At 45.6% G+C, this 18,186-nt stretch overlaps 1 protein-coding gene across 23 annotated transcripts in view, besides 4 other annotated features; it reads right to left on the bottom strand.

Annotated features, from left to right (window-relative positions):
• Window positions 1-155: 155 nt before the first annotated feature.
• MEGF11 (multiple EGF like domains 11) overlaps window positions 156-18,186 on the bottom strand; it is a 358,452-nt gene continuing 340,421 nt past the window's right edge. For 6 of the 23 annotated variants that reach the window (NR_169557.1, NM_001385028.1, XM_017022670.3 and 3 more), the window contains 6 exons: window positions 16,939-17,057; window positions 14,597-14,663; window positions 13,891-13,992; window positions 10,942-10,998; window positions 3,585-3,791; window positions 156-2,951 (listed from right to left, as the gene is read on the bottom strand). Coding sequence is in view for 18 of the 23 variants with exons in the window: in NM_001385028.1 (NP_001371957.1) it covers window positions 2,791-2,951; window positions 3,585-3,791; window positions 10,942-10,998; window positions 13,891-13,992; window positions 14,597-14,663; window positions 16,939-17,057 (713 nt within the window). In the remaining 5 variants the exon portion in view is untranslated. Of the gene's footprint in view, window positions 3,792-10,130; window positions 10,732-10,941; window positions 10,999-13,890; window positions 13,993-14,596; window positions 14,664-16,938; window positions 17,058-18,186 lie in introns of those variants that run through there. The other 17 variants (NM_001385030.1, NM_001385031.1, NM_032445.3 and 14 more) reach the window with 9 other exon arrangements.
• Window positions 7,214-7,433: an enhancer, noted in NCBI's record as "active region_9610". NCBI's record gives its function as "activates an Ori minimal core promoter by ATAC-STARR-seq in GM12878 lymphoblastoid cells {active_cell/tissue: GM12878}" and the evidence as "EXISTENCE:reporter gene assay evidence [ECO:0000049][PMID:35858748]".
• Window positions 7,214-7,517: a biological region, named in NCBI's record as "ReSE screen-validated silencer GRCh37_chr15:66194834-66194998".
• Window positions 7,353-7,517: a silencer, noted in NCBI's record as "fragment chr15:66194834-66194998 (GRCh37/hg19 assembly coordinates)". NCBI's record gives its function as "represses an EF-1alpha promoter that drives an FKBP-Casp9 reporter gene in an ReSE screen in K562 erythroleukemia cells {active_cell/tissue: K562}" and the evidence as "EXISTENCE:reporter gene assay evidence [ECO:0000049][PMID:32094911]".
• Window positions 7,520-8,311: an enhancer, noted in NCBI's record as "H3K27ac hESC enhancer chr15:66195001-66195792 (GRCh37/hg19 assembly coordinates)". NCBI's record gives its function as "activates a minimal SCP1, AML or CMV promoter by ChIP-STARR-seq in naive H9 embryonic stem cells {active_cell/tissue: H9 hESC(naive)}" and the evidence as "EXISTENCE:reporter gene assay evidence [ECO:0000049][PMID:30033119]".

The raw sequence follows: 18,186 nt of genomic DNA on the forward strand, positions 1-18,186 counted from the left end.
TTCACTTATTTTCAAACATCTACTAGAATAATTTTCATTCTTCCAGGTGTTCAAAGTGCCCAAGCAGGATGTAGGTTAGTTCTACCCTTAAACTTAAGGTGTAGATTATAAGCACGTTTTCCATTTGCAACACAACAGTAGGCATTCTTGTTAAATTAGTTTGAGAAATTTGTTTTATTTTGTACAAGGTACAATCCCTCTGCACAGTGAACATATATTACAAATCTGTGATTTAAAAAAGTATTGCCGTTTCATAGTCTCATTAATACCTCTGTACAATAATGGTTTTTCTTTCATTCATTTTAATTGTACACATATTAATTTTTTGAAAATTTAGTTTCTGAAAAATAATTGAACAGATCTTTCAAAGTCACCCATAAAATGCACAGTATACATGTTTAGGCTGACCATGAACCTATTTGTGATGGTGTTAGACAGAAGTTTCTAACAGTTGCTTTGTAAGATTGAAATGTCTTTTACTGATAACTGTTCGATAGGGGAAGGCAGCTATTGTCACCATAATCACACCCTCTGCCTTTCCCTTCTCCTCTGTATTGCCTGGTTTGACTTGTATTACATTTCCTTAAAAAGTCATGGACTGCTAGAGCTGAAGGGTTAGTAGAGCTGTCTTCCCACTCTCTGCTTCTCCCCTTTTTATGCATAGGAAAAAAGGGAGCCCAGAGAGGGCGACTAACTTGACCAGAGTAACACTGAAATCTCTTGATTCAGTGTCTAGCCATTCCACCTCTTGCTGAATACCTTTGCCCAGAGGATAGTTGACAAAAGCGGCGAAACTTCAAACTTGAGTGATGCTGCTTGTTTGCAGTTTGCCAGGCAGCAGTTATTGTACATGCAGGATAAGGGAAGAAGAGAAAACCTGGGATTGAGTTGAAGTTTCTCCTTGCTGATCTGACATCTTCATGCTGCTCATCCTTGCTTCACAAACACTTGCTGCCCTGAAATACTGAGGTAAGCTGCTTACCTATATTTCTTTCTACATATGTATGAGAAATATTTACTTGGGTCTCCAAAGTAATTTTCTAATATTTATATTTTAATAAGGCTTTTTTGGAAAGTAAATTTACTATTGCTACTCAGTTGCTCCCATGCACACATGCAACATTCATGTAAGTATTACATATTTTCCTCTAACAGTAAAATCTGCTTATGCCTTGAGTGATGTGGGAAGGGGAGATGTACTCATTTATTTATTTTTTTGCTTTTTCTGATTATTGCCCAAAGTATTGTGTTCCATGGCAGGCTTCCAGTTTCTATCAAGGGTTTCAGAACTCTCATACTTCCTGTAGCAGTATTCCAGCTTCGCAGTCATTTAGTTCCTCTTCTGTGTATCTTTTTGGAAGTGTTTTTTACTGGCTGGACTGTACCAGTGAATAGAGTGGTACAGGAGTAGCCGTTAGCTTCCTAGGTTTGCCCTTTTTGTTTTTAATTCTTGTGAGAAGGTTCTCTTTAGGGCTTGGGAGTTGATTTCATTTCATTTGGACTTATCTGAGCCTCAGTTTATCTGTGTTCATAGTGGAAGGTATAGACACATCTGAATACTGGGATCTGGAGCATTAGCTCATTGTAATGCATATTGGGCTAGCTCAGTAAGTAGTAGTTTTAAGATAGAAGGTGGAAGGACTTCATATCCTCATGCTGTTTACAGTAACGTTTTTACATCACGTTACAGCAACTGGTTACAGTCCATTCTTTTTTTGATCATTTAGTTCCATTAAAAAGCATAATGTACTTTAAGCAGTGTAAACTTGCTGTATCCACATTTGTCCAATTTCCTGTATACTTTTAGGTTTCATACTACGTCAATCTCAAGATTTATGAAGAACTTGAAAGCAAGTACTCTTGAGTCAAGGGATGCTGACCAAATAAAATGAGGAGGCCAACTAGCCGTCTTTTACTTAATCCCGACCAGTCTATGACTGCTTGCTTAAAGGATCATCTTAGAGCTCTGTTTTACATGGAATGATTCAGGTGTCGGATGGACTAAGTAGATATGACAAAGCCAGGACTAACTTGTAATGTCCTTGAACTTTGAATTGGCAAAATTTGATAAAGCTGCCCTAGGAATCTTATTGTAGACTGAAAGAGACACTGCTGCACTTTGGAAACGTGTGTGTGTGTCTCTGTGTGTTTAAACCTATCACTTAGGGGGCAGAAGAAAGTAAAGTCTTGTTTTTTAAAATAGAAGTTGTCAGCATTAGACTATATAGATTCTGTAATCTTGGCTGTTGTAATTTGATGGACCAGACAGATATGTACAGACATTTTAAGACTGTTCTGTTTAAGAACAGTTCATGTCTGTGTACTAATTGTCTTCGGTAATAAAACAGATGTTGATGGTAACAGCAACCAAAAGTACATATACGTTTCAGGTGCTTTAAAGTAATCCTCTTCCCTCCCCAGTCTCCTTTTTGTCCTAGGAAGGTTTGTTAAACCTACATGTTTTTAAAATATCACGTTTCAGATAAATATATATATATATATCAGCTATATTTAGCTGATGTTGATGAGTAGCTGTATCTTAAAATGTTTTAAAAATCATATAATCCAGGGCATTTGGGGCTGAGTGGGTGATAGGATTTGCCTTTGAGAACACAATTCCTTGAACAATTATCCCAGTCCCACCTGGACGCTCTTCTTTAGTTCCAGGTGAACGTAATAACTAACATGCAGCTGGAGCCAGTCTGTACCATTACTTCAAGTCAAGGGACTGTCTTCTTTCAGAGTCAGAATATTCAGTAGAGCACACTGCAAGAGAGAAGCTTATCCCTCTTAAGATTGCTTGTCCTGGGACGGCCCATTGGCAGGGCTCTGTCTTACTGGGAGGAGGTCATAATGACCAGGAATATGGCTGTTCCTAGGTAGGTCGTATGCATTCTGGATATAGCTGGAGTTATGACCGCAACCTTCTTGGACCACACTGACTGTGGGCTCTAAGAAATATAGTGAAAAATGAGTTCAGAGAACAGATTAGCTTTGGTTGCCTTGTTGGAGAGGAAGAGAGTTCTACTTAACTTGGGGAAAGGAGCCAGGGATTTATAAATCTATGGCAAATACATGAGGGTTAGGACTGAGGCTTGCTCAGGAGATGGAAAACTAAGTGAATGTGCTGTCAACATCCAAGCCTCTCATCAACACCAAAGGATTTAAAATATCCTAGAGGTAGGAGTCTTACCAGTGAGCCCAGGGACATAAACTGGGAGAAGGTAGAAGGTGATTTAGAGACTTGTTGATGTCTCTGATTGCTTTCTTTTTTAAAATGAGATTTGTATCAACAATCTGTGTGTGTGTGTGCGCGCGTGCACGTGCATGTGCCCATTTCCCACCCCCAGTATTTGTTTCATATTAGTCCTGGTGTTTTTTAAAGCAGAGTTGGTACAATAATTTGACTTCCTGCATTAGCTAGGAGGGTAGTCCTAGGAAAGACAGTTCACCTTAGAGATGCCTTTAAAAGCAACAAAAGAAGGATGTGTGGTCAAGGTGGGGTGAGTGGAGAGGGCTTGCTTTTACTTCAAATGCTGCACTATTGCCCTGATTTCACTAAGTTACTTATTTGAGACACCTACCAACTTCATATATATTTTTATTAGATGTCGACAAGGATGGCACATCTGTGTACGGAGACCCCATGTGCACAGGCGACTTCATTTCTACATAGCTGCTTTCTGGAAGCTTGCAGGTGAGGATGGGTGGGTCCTTAATTGTGGCGTAAGGGTTTTCACTGCTATTCAAGGAACAAGTACTAGAACTGCACACGGATTCTTTCATGTAATCTGCAAGGCAAGAGACATTTCTTAGGACAAGCAAGAATACAAGTCTTCATGTTAATATCAGAAGCAGACTGCAGTTGAGTTTATGTGCCTTCAGGATCTTAGAGCTGGAAAAGCCAGGATAATCCAAGATTTATTTACTTATTAAATGTGCTGAGAAGTGCTCTCCCAGGTAGGCAGAGTTCTTTTTCCAAAGAAACTTATGTTTTTGGAGGATAGGAACATTTTTGTTTTTAGTAGTTGGGTATTAATTCAAGATATGCATAATATGCTTTGACATGTATTTAATTTTTGTAAATTCCTGCAAGGGTTGCTGATAGTTGCATTTTATGAGATCAAGGCTCAGAGATATGAAGTGACTTAGCTAAAGTCACACAGCTAGTGAATGGCAGTGCCAAGAATTGAATCCATGCCTTTGGACTCCTTGGCCTGTGCATTTTCTGTGATGATATTCTTGTGAATTCTTCTTTTTTGAGATGTTGCCTAGGCTGGTCTCAAACTCCTGGGCTTAAGTGATTCTCCCGCCTCAGCCTCCTGAGTAGCTGGTATTATCGGTACGTGCCACCACACCTGACTTGAATTGTTTTCAATGACTGAGAAGCTTAGGTTCAGAAGAAGTAGGCATGCATGTTTTAGCACAGATGTCAGCAATTTGACAGCCTATAAGTGGCAGACTCTTAGCAGTATCCCTGCCCTCCAGGAGCTCATCAGAATAGGGTAGACTGAAGTGTAATTGAGGTGTAAAAAGCACGTCAGTCTTAAGCTAGCCTTTGGAAAGTTCCTGTTTTCTAGCAAGCCTGTAACGTGTTCTTGGGTTGCTTACCCCCCTGTTCTTGTCAATGCTAACTGAAACCTATTTCAGCAGTATCTTTCTGATACTAGAGCTCATGCTTCCTTTCCTGCCACCTCTCAGTTGTATAGTTGTACCATCCCCGAGACTTCAGAGTACAAAAGGATGCAGGCTGGTTTCCAAATATGAAATGAGGTACTGTAGTTTCACTGGAGGAAGATGGGTTCTTTAGTGACTGGGAGTTACGGAAGGAAAGGGGATTCCCTCTTTCAGCCTCTGTACCATTCTCTGTTTGGGGAAGATCACTGACTCCTGCAGATAGTCCCAGGCAAGGCAGGATTTGCCTGGAAAGAGCAGTAAACTCTAATCTAGCAGCTCTGACCTTCTTCTGTGAAGCTCTGCTAGACAAGGGATCTAGACACAAGCACTGAGCTGCTTGAGTTGATAGAAGTGATCTAAAAGGCGTCTCAGCACTAAATTTCTGTGAAAGGTAGCAGATGGTGAAATTCTTGGATGATCTGTCACTAGAACTACCACAGTTTACATTTTGGGCTGCTATTTATGCTGTCTCCAATTTGTGAGAGTAATGAAAATGGTAAAAAGTGAAAGTGATAATGTAACTCAATGGATGTCTTAGATGTACCTTGGGACCCTGAAAGCAGAACACTCCGTATGGCTGAAGTAGCTAGATGTGTGCCACCACAAGTAGTCTTATCTCCCATAAAAGGCAACTGGTTGGAAGAGTATTTACTTTTCTGTTAAAGTAGATGTCCATTCTGTTGATGTTTGTTTCAGCAGATAGTATTTCCTCAATCTTGTACAAAAATATGTTCAGCCATTAGTTCCTTCAAGTGTTCACACAACACTCTGTGGTATAGGTAGAGCAATAATTCTCTCTCTCCTTCTCCTCTCATTGCTTATTGAGGAAGTCATTGCTTATGAGATTTAGAGTGGAAATTGACTTCCTCAGGATCACACTGCTTATCACTAGCAGAGCAAACTCTGTAGAACCAGGCTCAGCATTTTCCATCACAATTTAGCCCAGAAGTAGAGAGGGATATTGGCTTTAGTCACGTCTTAAGATTGTGGCCTCTTTAGCATATGACTCTAGAGAGAAGGAGAAAACATCCTTGCGAGACACTGAACGATCTCAGCTAGCACCAGCAAGGCCTAAAGGGAGGCCAGATATAGGCCCAGATGCTGGTTGACTTTTATTTCAAATGCTGCACTAGTGCCCTGATTTCACTAAGTTACTTATTTGAGACACCTACCAACTTCATATATATTTTTATTAGATGTCGACAAGGATGGCACATCTGTGTATGGAGACCCCATGTGCACAGGTGACTTCATTTCTACATAGCTGCTTGGACCCTTGACTGTGACCTGCCCAAACCACATAAATTTGCCCCTTAGAGGGTACTTAGTTTTTTAGTACAAGGAAGTGGTGGTAAGTCCAAGAACCCCAGCATGGCCCATCTGTCCCACTTTGGGTTCTCTGAACTCACCAGCCAAGGAGTAAGGCAATAAGGCACAGAGCTTCTGGTTTGGAAGCTGAGGACTAGTAGTATTTAAAGAAAGGCTATTGCACCTGCCTCAACTGCATATTTTCTAACGTGATGAATAACCACTTTATGTAGCAATTATAGTCTTCATTCCAATTAGGTCATTTGAAACTTGTTACATAATGAATAGGGCTGTGCAGAAAGGACTATTACTACTTCAGAATGAGGAATCTGAAGCTCAGAAAATTTGCTAGTATAATTCCTAATGTTAGTAAGTAGTTGAACCCCTATTGTCTCTTAGTTGATACCAATCAAGATGTTTTCCCTCACTACGTGTCTTGTTATCCAGTGCTCCTGTCCTTATCTCTAAAGGCAAACTGTATCTGCAGCAGCTCCACCTTACTCTGAACTCACCAGTCAAGGAGTAAGGCAGTAAGGCACAGAGCTTCTGGTTTGGAAGCTGAGGACTAGTAGTATTTAAAGAAAAGCTATTGCAGCTGCCTCAACTGCATATTTTCTAACATGTGAGGAATAACCACTTTATGTAGCACGTATAGTCTTCATTCCAATTAGGTCATTTGAAACTTGTTACATCGTGAATAGGGCTGGGCAGAAAGGACTGTTGTTTCTACTTTAGAATGAGGAATCTGAAGCTCAGAAAATTTGCTAATATAATTCCTAATGTTAGTAAATAGTTTAGTCAGGACTCAACCCCTGTCTTCTCTTGATACCAATCAAGATGTTTTCCCTCACTACGTGTCTTGTTATCCAGGGCTCCTGTCCATATCTCTAAAGGCAAACTGTATCTGCAGCAGCTACACCTTACCCTTAACAAGGAATGTCTTTCATCTATGGGGCTAAGCCCAGCTGAGAGAAAAAGGCTAAGCTCTTAAGTTTTTTGTGGATATCCCATGACTGAGTTAGGGCAGTAGGAGAGCCTTGAAGTTCAATGCCTAAAAGAACCTCGGCCAGTTGATAGTGCCTCTTCTCATTTTCACCAGAAAAGTCGGGGCTACTTTAAAGTTTTGGGGAATCAATTGTTGGCTCTGGAGCAGGGGATGATCCTAAATGGATAAAAGAGAAGTTGATGTCTGTGGGGAGGGGCTAAGCTCAGGGGGAAGTATCTTCCATACAGGAGCAGAGGATGGAGCAGTGCATGTATGTGTTGGCTGGGTGGTGAGAAAAGGGTGTTGAATTATGGACTCTTCTGTACCCCATCTCTACTGGGACTGGAGAATGGGGAAGGGCTGGGCAAGCTGGAAACTCCACCTCAGGAAGCCACTTTGTTCTCCAGCTGAGTCATCCACCTGCCTGCAAGAGGGGAGGGCAGGGTTGAGTGGAAGAATAACCAGCTGCTCTTAGATACTTCCTCATCCTTTCATAGCCCCACCCCTGTCCCAGTCCCAGCCCTTCAGGGCATTTTGCAAAGAAAGAGGAAGCATCAACCCAGGCTACCCAAGCTCTGGGAGTCACTCCTCCAAGGCTTGTCATTTGCATCAGGATTGGCGGCTTGGTCCTGTAATGCCCTGGCATTTGGTCTCATCTGGTTCCTGCCTCCCCACATAGTCATACACTGTCAGAGACAGAGGGGGCTTCTGAGATGAACTAAACATTTTCATTTTATAAAGGGAGCATCAAATCTAGAGAGAGGCAGTGACTTTCCAGGGCCACCTTGTGTGTGGGATCTGAGCCCACCTTGGCTTCTAGGTGCATGCTAACCTCCACTAAGGCCCAACTTAACTGTCAGGGAAAAACCCAGGCACCGAATATCCATCTCTTGCTTCTTGGCTTGCTACTATTAATAGAAGGCCACACTGCCTCTTCTCTTCCTGGGCCATAAATTAGCATCCTTCTCTTGATTGAGAGATAGGAGGAGGAGGTCTTGGGGTCAGAACACTGGCTTTAAAAAGTAATCTTCAGGATGTCATTGGGCTCCTAACTACCTAAGAGCCCAAGTTTACGCAAAGACAGACTTGGAAGTTAGATGGGAACGAGCACACAGGTGGGGAAAGTGGCAGCAACAGTGGGCTCAAGGATTCCAGCATCATAAAGGCGATGGAGAATAGCAATTTGAAATGGCTGACAAGGAATTGAACACGAGGCAGTTTGTTGCAGAATCACTGTGCTAGGGGGAGAAGGGGAAATAGAAGGGTGTTGAGCAGTGTAAGTGGTCTCCCTTAACCTCCGGGATGACAGTGAGTGGAGTTCTTCAGTAAGTAACAGGGGAAAGGGCAGGCATTGACTAAGGCTTTTGGAATGTCAGAGCTTGAAAGGGCCTCAGAGATGCTGTTAGTACAGCCCCATCGTTTTATAGTGGAAGAAACCAAGACCCAGAAAACAGTGCTGTGACCTGGTCAGCACCATACAGCAAGAACTAGGACTACAACCCACATTCCTTAACTCCTAGGCTAGGGCTTTTTCCCACTGAGTTCAGAGAACACTGAGACTCTTAATTCTTAGTAGTTCTGATTTGGTTTGGCCCAGTAGTTTTAGGAACTAGTTTCATTTGTGCTAGACTAGCTTATTAAGTGTTTATTTCGGGGGGCGTTAGCCAATTAGTGGGATTTATTCCATGTTTTGGTAAGTATTGTTATAAAGTTCTGAACTGTGACATCATATTTTCCTCTTTTTCAGTTCTCTTATTCTGATGTATTGGTCCCCAACACCTGCTGGTACATTTGCTTACATAGCTCTCTTTTCTTTTTAAAGGATGATTGTAGCCAGAGTGGTAAAATAAGATCTGGCTGGCTGCCTGCTGAGCCCTCGCCTGCACTCAGAGGTCAGATATATGATTCTACACAATAGTAATGAAATGTATGCTGAGGCAGAGACACTGCTTTCCTGAGCTTTGTTTTACATGTATGATTGCGAATCTGAAAGTAACCACCCTAATCAATGTACAGGACAACACAGTGCATAGGAAAGTTGTGTGTTCAGTTATTGGGGTTTCTGGTCCTGAGTTTATTCATGCTTGAGTCATGCGTGTTCTTCAGCTAGAAAGGCCCTTAGAGAGCTTTCTGCCCAATCCTTATACCTTTTTGAGAAAGAAACTGAGGTGCCAGGTCATAGTCACGAAATAGAACTGTTCTTTGTTTTCAGCCTTACCTACTGTTCCTCATTTGGATGGTTTAAGTCAAAACACACAGAAAATTGCCAAAATAATGCTTCCAAGGGAGTAATGTCTGTTGGCTGGCTGGGGATGACCTTTTGTCCTCAGACAGTTCTCTTGGGCTGTGTATATCCTAACAAAGGCCGATAGTGACTCAGCCTTATCGCTGTCTTGTTCAGAATGCAGTACTTACCACCATCCCCTACCCTGAGCTCACCCCACATCTAATCATCTCCCCAAAAGGACTGTAGACGACTAGCTGTTCTTGGTTAGGGAATGGTTGTGTCTTGGTGTATGTAAAACTAGGTCTGAAAGACTAGAACGGTAATCAGGGACATCTGGGTCAGTCTAGACCAGTGTTTGGGGAATAAGCTGCATAAGGGTACCCTGAGGGTGCTCTTCACACATGCAGATTCCAGGGCCCCACTCTAGATTTGCATCAGAGTTTTGAGGAGATGGGGTGTGAATATCTGTATTTTTAATAAGCTTTCCAGGTGATTCTGGTACACTGTTAGATTTAGGATATGCATTGGGACCTCTGCTGTCATATCTGTTTGGCTTAAGCGCTTTTTTCTGAGACAGAGTCTTGTTCTGTTGCCCAGGCTGGAGTGCAGTGGCACGATCTGGGTTCACTGCAACCTTTGCCTCCCGGCTTCAAGCAATTCTTGTGCCTCAGCCTCCCAAGTAGCTGGGATTACAGGTGTGTGCCACCATGTCTGGCTAATTTTTGTATGTTTAGTAGAGACAGGGTTTTGCCATGTTGGCCAGGCTGGTCTTGAACTCCTGACCTTAAGTGATCCACCTGCCTCGGCCTCTCAAAGTGCTGAGATCACAGGTGTGAGCCACTGTGCCCGGCCTTAAGCTGTTTTAAATAGACCTCCTAGACAAAAGAATAGCCCCATTACATTAGTACCACCTTTACAGTATGCAAAAAACACTTCCCATTGGTGATTTTATTGGTTACTCATGATAACCTTGTTAGACAGTAGGACAGGCATTAGACAATAGGACAGGCAAAATTATCCCAACCTTGCAGATGAGGAAACTGAGCCTTGGAAAGCTCACAGTCCAGTCTAAGGTCACAGTTAATGAGCAACAGAGTGGCAAGTGACAGAGTTCCAAAGCCCCCTATTTCACACATTCCGGCATTTAAACCTAGGGCAGGACCTGACCTTTCATCTTTGGCTTCACCTGTAGACTTCCTAGAGGGATGATCCAACTTGCAGTTCCCATGTGTTAGGGATTTGTCTTGGCTTCTCTGCTCTTGGAGGCAGAGATCTCTTGAGGTTGGAGTGCCATACAATATTAACACTGCGTATCATTTTCATTCCTTGTGCCCCCAGAAAGCCAGCAGGTGCAGGGTGGCATTCCTTGCTAGTGCAACGACAGGAGGCCTCTGGGGCAGGTAGATCAACTTTATTTCAGATTTTATAATCAATTTAACTCGTACTAATTGGTTGGATAATGACGCTTTACATTTCCGAAGACATTTAGTTGGCATCTATAAAAAACCCACAAGCATTTGCTAAGCAGGTGCAACTGAAATCGAAAGATGAATTCATTATTATTATGATTGATTGCTCCTCCTGGGCACAGCTACCCAACAGCCCCAGGCCCTGTGGTCTTTTAACCTTCTGTGGGGGGCAGGCACACACAGTTTGTCTCAAGTGGAATTCCTGGCCATTTCAGATCTGCACTCTTTATCTTGCTAAGCCCTCTGTAATAAGACAGCAGGATTGGATACTCTACCTTTGAAGCCTTTGTCCATAATGTATGTGTTCTGACGTCTATCCATTCCACAAGCACCTGTGTAAAAATAACATGTAAGGAAAGAAAATATGGGGGTGAGGTTTACTTAGACTGCTTGTGTTCTTCTTTCTTTTCTTGCTTTTCCCCCCCCTTCTCCCCTACCCAGAAAATAAATAGTTGTTTATTGCTAGAAAATGATTCTGGGGGTTTAATCTACCTGAAATTGTTTTGATAAATGATTCTGGGTTTAATCCATCTGAAATTGTTTTGATTATAGGAATTATTAAAAGGCTCATAAGCTACAGCGACCCCCGGCATATTCAGCACTCCTTCCCTTTAACCTTCACCCTAGGGGAGTGTCTTTCAGGAAGGAATAAAAGGCTGTTCTGATGCCATTCCCTGCAGGTGAAACTCCAGGCTCCAAGGGTATAGGATAAGGAATGAAGCAGAACCAGTTCTTGGCTTGAGGGAAAGTTGTATGACATTACAAATCACAGTTCTGTTGGAATTTGGCATGGGTTTGAAGACAGTATTTATCACCTCTCAGCTCTGGTCCTGTCTGTCCTCTCCTGGATCCAAGGCTTATCTGAGGGTAGCCAGAGAGAAACAGAGGGAGACAGGTGGCTGAGGTTCTTGATTAGTCATCTTTGTAGGATGTACAGACATTCCCTCCCATAGCCAGTTCTCTTAGTTACTCATTTTTTGGGGTGTGCCATTTGCACATAATGTAGAATTGTTTTTGAAAAGTATTACCAGTGTTTTCAGCCCCAAGGATTTCTTTCTACCTTTCGGCTGTCAGTTTTTTCCTAGGCTCCAACAATGCATGATGGCCCTGAGCCTCAGCCAGAGGCTTCAGGGACTAAGCTTGGGTTCTTTGCTGCTGGTGATCCCAGAAAAGAAATTGTTTGGCATTTCTAGGTTGGGACAGTAATGACTCTGGCTCAAAGTCAGAGCAATTTTTTCTTCTAGCTTTTAACTGAGGACACAGCACCAAGCAAGGCCTGCAGCAAGTACTTACTAAAATACAGTTTGACTCTCCTTGACTCTTCCCAGTTTCTGACACTGAAGACCACCCTGTTGCTATCGCTCCTCTACGTAGAGTTCCCATGTTGAATTTGAAAGCGTCTACTCCTATCTGCCTACGTTCCACATATTACTGAGAGATATGGCAGAACCAGGCCCAAGTTTTTCTTTTAAGTTTGCTATTTTTCTTTTTTTCTTTTTTTTTGAGATGGAGTCTCGCTGTGTCACCCAGGCTGGAGTGCAGTGGCGCAATCTCTGTTCACTACAACCTCCACCTTCCAGGTTCAATCGATTCTCCTGTCTCAACCTCCTGAGTAGCTGGGACTACAGGCATGCACCACCACTCCCAGCTAATTTTTTTGTATTTTTAACAGATGGGGTTTTACCATGTTGGCCAGGCTGGTCTTGAACTCCTGACGTCACGTGATCTGCCTGCCTCAGCCTCCCAAAGTGCTGGGATTACAGACGTGAGCCACCGTACCCAGCCTCAAATTTGCTGTTTTTTCTGAGAGGCTTATAGGTACCTGTGTCCTTCAGAATCATGCCTGCAACTGCCTATATGCTGGCATTAGTTCAGCACTTTATGCCAGACAAGGGCTTCCTTTGCCCTTCCTGAGGGAAGCTGGCTAGGGTATTAACTTTTCCTTTTTACAGAACAGGGAACAGGCCCAAAGAGCAACAGTGGCTTGTCCAAAACCACACTAGCAAGTGAGAAGCTGAGTTACAGTTAGAGCCCAGATCTCTCCAAGTATTCTCTCTCACTGGATACCAGCCTGCCTGGGTGTAAGACAAATGCCAGCGCATGGCGCTCTGGCTACGCTAGTTGAAGAGTGAGATCTGTAAAGCAGGGAGAAATCTGGCCTAGTTCAGAGGATACTCCCTTGTAGAAAGAGATACAGGGTGGTGGTGGTGGGGCTGTGTGTGTGTGTATATGCTGGAATGGGAGAGATTGTAGTTGGTGGGGTTATTAAATGCCCTAGATACTGTCCAGGGGACCCACAGCTAATAACACAGCCTCCTGAGTATAGGCCCAGGGTCCATGCAGCCCATGCCTGCTCAGTGGGCAGATGAATTCAGAACATTCACCCTTCCTGGTATTACTGGACCCAGGGACCTGCAGGGATTGGTAGAGCAGCTCAGTTTCCTTAGAGTTCTAGAAGCCACCTAGAGCCTGAGGTCAGGCCTAGAGTTGTCTGGTATACCAAGGCCCTGCCCCAGGGTGCCCCAGAGGAGCCACATTGTAGGGAGGCCACATTCTCTGTTCATTCATTGCACTTGTTCCCATGATACCTTCTGTAACTCCTACCCACATGTTCCCATAATCAGGGCTAACTTTCCAAGTCTCTTGTGTGTGTGTCTCCCAAGCCACCAGATTTCAGCCCAGGCTGTACTCAGTACATGAGTACAGGTGATGTTGGTTGATACATCCTGCCCCAGCCTCTCCAGATCCCTGTTTGACAACCCTACCCTGTGATTTGAGAAAGCTTGGCTTGGGCCACTGGGGTTTCTGGAGTCTCTGGGAGACATTGGACTTTATTGGCCAGAGAGCTAACTCCCTGTTATCCACTCCAACAGGGCCCAGAGAACCCCAAAGATGTCGCCATCCCCAAGTCATTTTTGAAAGGTGTAGGATTGTATTTTGTGGCCTGTAGGGAGGGCAGTTTTGTTGTATCTTCTCCACCCTAAATAGCCTGTTTGTTCACATCCACCGTTCACTATGGGAACAGAATGGGTGATGGGGAAGATCCAGACAGGTTTCCATCTTTAGATAGGGGATTGAGCTGGTAGACATGTTGGGAGGGAAGAGGGCTTAAAAGGGAGAGTTCTGGGACCACAGGGTGGGGGTCAAGGTGCAGGGATGGGGATTAGGGCAGGTGCTGGGTCTGGTCTGGCATGAGGGGGTGGAGGGTAGGGCTGGGGTCTGACCTGGTGAGTGTGGCTCAGCGGGGCGGCTGAGGTGTCTAAGTTCAATGTAGAAGTCCTCGGGCGGGTACCTGGCCTCCAGGGCACTGATCTGGAAATGGGAGTCTAGTGAGAGGAATGACAGGGAGGAGCCATTATTCCCAGGGCCCTGGTATAGCAGGGGAAGGGGGTAGGAAGTACACAAGTGGGCCAGGGTCAGGGTGAGGCAGGCTGGGAGGACTTGGGGGCCTCTGTGTATAGCATCCAGAGGGGCCAGGGCCAGCGGGGCCAGGGGCTCTGTTAGAGCCAAGGTCATCTGCCTTGTTTCCCCTCTCCTTCCCTCCCTCCCTCCCTCTGCAGGAATTAGTGCTCCTCCACCAGGGAGGAGGCAGGGGGAAGAAGCCCTTGAAAGGAGCACCTTGGTAGGGCCTGGGTCAAGCAGAGGTTCCTATCCAGATGGTGAGTGTGTCTTTTGCTTCCATCTGGAATCCCTACACCCTGGCCCTGGTTTTCTCCCTTATGGTCCCTGGGTCATAGCAGGGACTTAGCCCTAATATAGTAATGGAAAGGGATTCTTGGGCTTCATCTGCTTGTGAGAGCCAAAATTTCTCCCTGGGGGAAACCATGTTCAGAACTCATAACCCTGTCCCTTCAAGCTGGGTGCTTCTCAATATGGAAGAAGAATAGGGTGGGACATGATGGTGGGGACCAGACTCACACCACTACTGACCTAACACGTTCACATAGCTGTAGGGGGTCCAGCCTGCTGTGTCTCTGTCAAGGGACTTGTTACTGAGCTGTTTGGAGAGTAGGAGAGCCAGTTAATATCTAGTGCCCCAGGTACCCCTCCCCAGTCTTCACTTTGCGTAGCTTCAGTGCACACACCCTGTAATAATCCTGACCCACCTGGGTCCTAGGCCGTTGAGAGAAAGGGCGAGCTAGGTGTTCCATGACAGGCCACCATGGTGTGGTTGATGCTAGTGGGAATAGAACATACCCCACCCCAGCTGTTGGGCTGAAGTTGTAGGGTTCCCAGGCCTCCTGGGGTAGCTTGAGCCAAGCTGGCCCTGACAGAGGAAGCAGATTAGCTGGGGGGTGGGGCTGAGCTTTAGGAGAGGGGCCTCTGGTGATGTCTCAGCTGCAACATGAGGCCATCTCCAGCACAGAGGGAAGTCTTGAGGCTGCCTGCAATATCACTGTCACCTCTGCCACCTGATCCTGATTGGGGCTGAATGTGAGATTTTCCTTTTCCTGCGACCAAAGGAAAGCTTCAGAACAGAGTGTCTTGAGGCTTATATTGTAGTCCTTCCATTCTCTGCATTTTCACAGCTGCCCTTCATATGAGGCAAGGATGGTTATCCTCATTTCACAGATGGCGACCTGAGTCCTGACTTGCGTGCCTTGCTCATGAACACACACGAGTCAGTGACAAAGCTGTGTCTGGAACTCAGTTCCCAGTGCCGTGTCCTTTCCATGTCATCACAGCTGCCTGCCTCTGCTGCAGATGCCCTATCTGTTAGACTGGTTAACCACAGAGAGCCACTCTGGGCCCCTGGGCTGAGGTGACCCAGAGGGTCACCAAGTTGGCTACTCTGCAGTAATTCCAGCCCCTTACCAAAAGAGGGTGGAGGCTGAGAGTGGCCTTGGGGTGTTGGCTTGATAGTGGTTGCCCTTGAGGCTGTATAGTATCTATATTACTATTGCTGGACCAGGTCTGTAGGCTGATGGTCATTCTCCATGGGACAGACAGGGAAGAAAGGACTCCTAGATCTCTAGGGCATAGCCGTGGACTATGAAAGCCATGCTTTTGTCCCTGAATGGATATTATGGGAAGCTAGGAGTCCTGAGATTCCCACTCCCACCATGGCCCTGCTCCCCACTGTTTTGTGTCTATGGGCACAGGCACAGGTGGGTGTCCAGAGGTATGCAGCATGAGCCTCTCAGACCTGTCCTTGGGGGCTGTTCTTCCTCACTTCTTGTTTCCCACTCTGCCTGGTATGGGTCCGGGCACATTAAGGGAGCTCCCTATGTATTATCTACACATAGGTGCTGAGACATCCTTGCCCAAGGGCCTGTTGACTATAAGAGGACATCTTGCCAACAGCCAGGGTTATGCTGGAAGCTGTCAGGGAAGGTCCTGTCCAGAAGGGTGCACACCTGCCATGAAGACCTACAGAACTCAGTGTCCACAGAACATTGGCTATGGCTGAAGTTTGGGTTCCACATCCCTTGTTGATTCAGACTGCAACAAACGGTTATGAGTGGGTACTGATGAAATGGATAGGTTCAGATAAAAGAAACATTGTGAGGTGGTTATCTGAATAACAGTAGTTACTCTATAATATGCCACTTGCACACATTGTGTTGGTAGCATACTGCAGTGATTTGTGGTAGGTGGTCTAGTTGTTGTTGTTGTTTTTTGAGGTGGAGTCTTGCTCTGTCGTCAGGCTGGAGTGCAGTGGCGTGATCTCAGCTCACGGCAGCCTCCACCTCCTGGGTTCAAGCGATCCTCCTGCCTCAGCCTCGCAAGTAGCTGGGACTACAGGCGTATGCCACCATGCCCAGCTAATTTTTTGTATTTTTAGTAGAGATGGGGTTTCACCATCTTGGCCAGGATGGTCTCAATATCTCGACCTTGTGATCCGCCTGCCTCGGCCTCCCAAAGTGCTGGGATTACAGGCGTGAGCCACTGTGCCCAGCCTACAAGGTGGTCTAGTGTTTTGATTACGTGTTGACATGTGGCAAAAGTGTCTACATGATTATAGGTGATAAAGCAAATACATGATTACATGACTTGGTACCAGTTGGTTACACACAGGGTACAGGGGTATATGTTATACTGAGTGATGCTGTGGGTTGGTTACACGGCACTCCACATAACATGCTGGCTCCATTACATGCCTCACAGAGTGTTTACGTGTACCACGGATTGCAAGGTTGCTTTTAATGTATTGGTGGTCAGTTCTACATGGACCCTCCATGTGGCGGGGGGCGTGCAGTTCCTTCCTGGGCAGAGGTGAGGGTTAAATGAGAGGGCAGTGAGTGGGGGCTGGGGAATCAGGGGCCCGGTACCTTGGTGGGGCTGTTCCTGTCCAGAGTGCTGGCCTGGCTGGTGGCAGGCCCCCCACATGCCAGTGCGTGGTAGCTGGAATTGGAAAAGCAGTGGGCATGGCTGCTACTTTGAGACAAATCTGGGAAGAGAACAAGGTGCCACATACCATCATACCCCTGCCCCTGGCATGAGATACCCCCAGTACTAATGCTTGCGCTGGGAGCCTTGAGAGAGCCCTGCAAAGACAAACAGGCAAGTACCCCATCCCCCAAGCTTCCTGGCATCCACTACTCCTACTGAAATCTGGAGAGCCTGATTTGCTCCTTCCCTTACGCTGGTCCTCCCTGCAGCATGCAGAATGCAGGATAGGCTCACCTGTGCCAAGGGGAGGCACTATCAACTGGAGCCTGGATGGGGCATGTTTGCTTTGATAGCCTTACATGTCCCTGAGTCCCTATTTAGGGCTGGACTCACCTGCTTCCTTCTAGGGTCACATCCTGGTAATGAGATCATAAAGAGAACCTCACTTCTGACTCTGCTCTTCCCTCCTAAGGATTCCAGAACCTCTCCATAGGGCTGGGGAATACCAGAGGAATGGCATAGGAAACCCTAGCCAGCCTTCTCAGTATAGTCATAGAAGAAAATCCCCAAATCTGTGTGTGGGATGTCTGCTTTGGCTGTAGTGTGGCATGTAGACCAGGAGCTCCTTGAAGGCATGGTGTGCACTGGCCTGCCTCTGTCTATCCTGCAGTGCCTAGCATGAAGCTGGACATACAGAAGGCAACACTTAGCAGGAATGGGCTGAAGTGATCTGGGTTTTCTAAGCACAAGATGCAGGAGGCTGCAGATGAGCCATGAGCCACGTGCCATGGAGCTACCTGGAGAGAGCTGTCACCTTGTGCTCACCCAGACAGGCTCAGCCTCACATAGCCCAGGACTATAGGGCAATTTCAGAGCATTTTGGCCTCTACTGTTTAGCCAATATGAAGCAAAAAACCTTTCGTATTTCCAAGGCAGCAGTCCAGGGTTCAGGGGAAAGGAAGGATATCGCCCAGCAGCCCCATCTTGACCCCACTCAGACTCCCAAATAAAATGCCTATTGGAGCTGTTAACCACATTCATGGATGCACTGGGCTCTGGCACACTTGCCAGAGGGACATTGTCCAAACTTTCAGACCTCCCAAGTCAGGTACTGTCCCCTTCCGCTGTACTAATAGGACCCTCCTAACTGGGAACTGGGAAGGAGGGTTGTCCTGAGGCGTTCACCA

This window comes from Homo sapiens, chromosome 15, assembly GCF_000001405.40.
Source record: "Homo sapiens chromosome 15, GRCh38.p14 Primary Assembly".
Taxonomy (NCBI): Eukaryota; Metazoa; Chordata; class Mammalia; order Primates; family Hominidae; genus Homo; species Homo sapiens.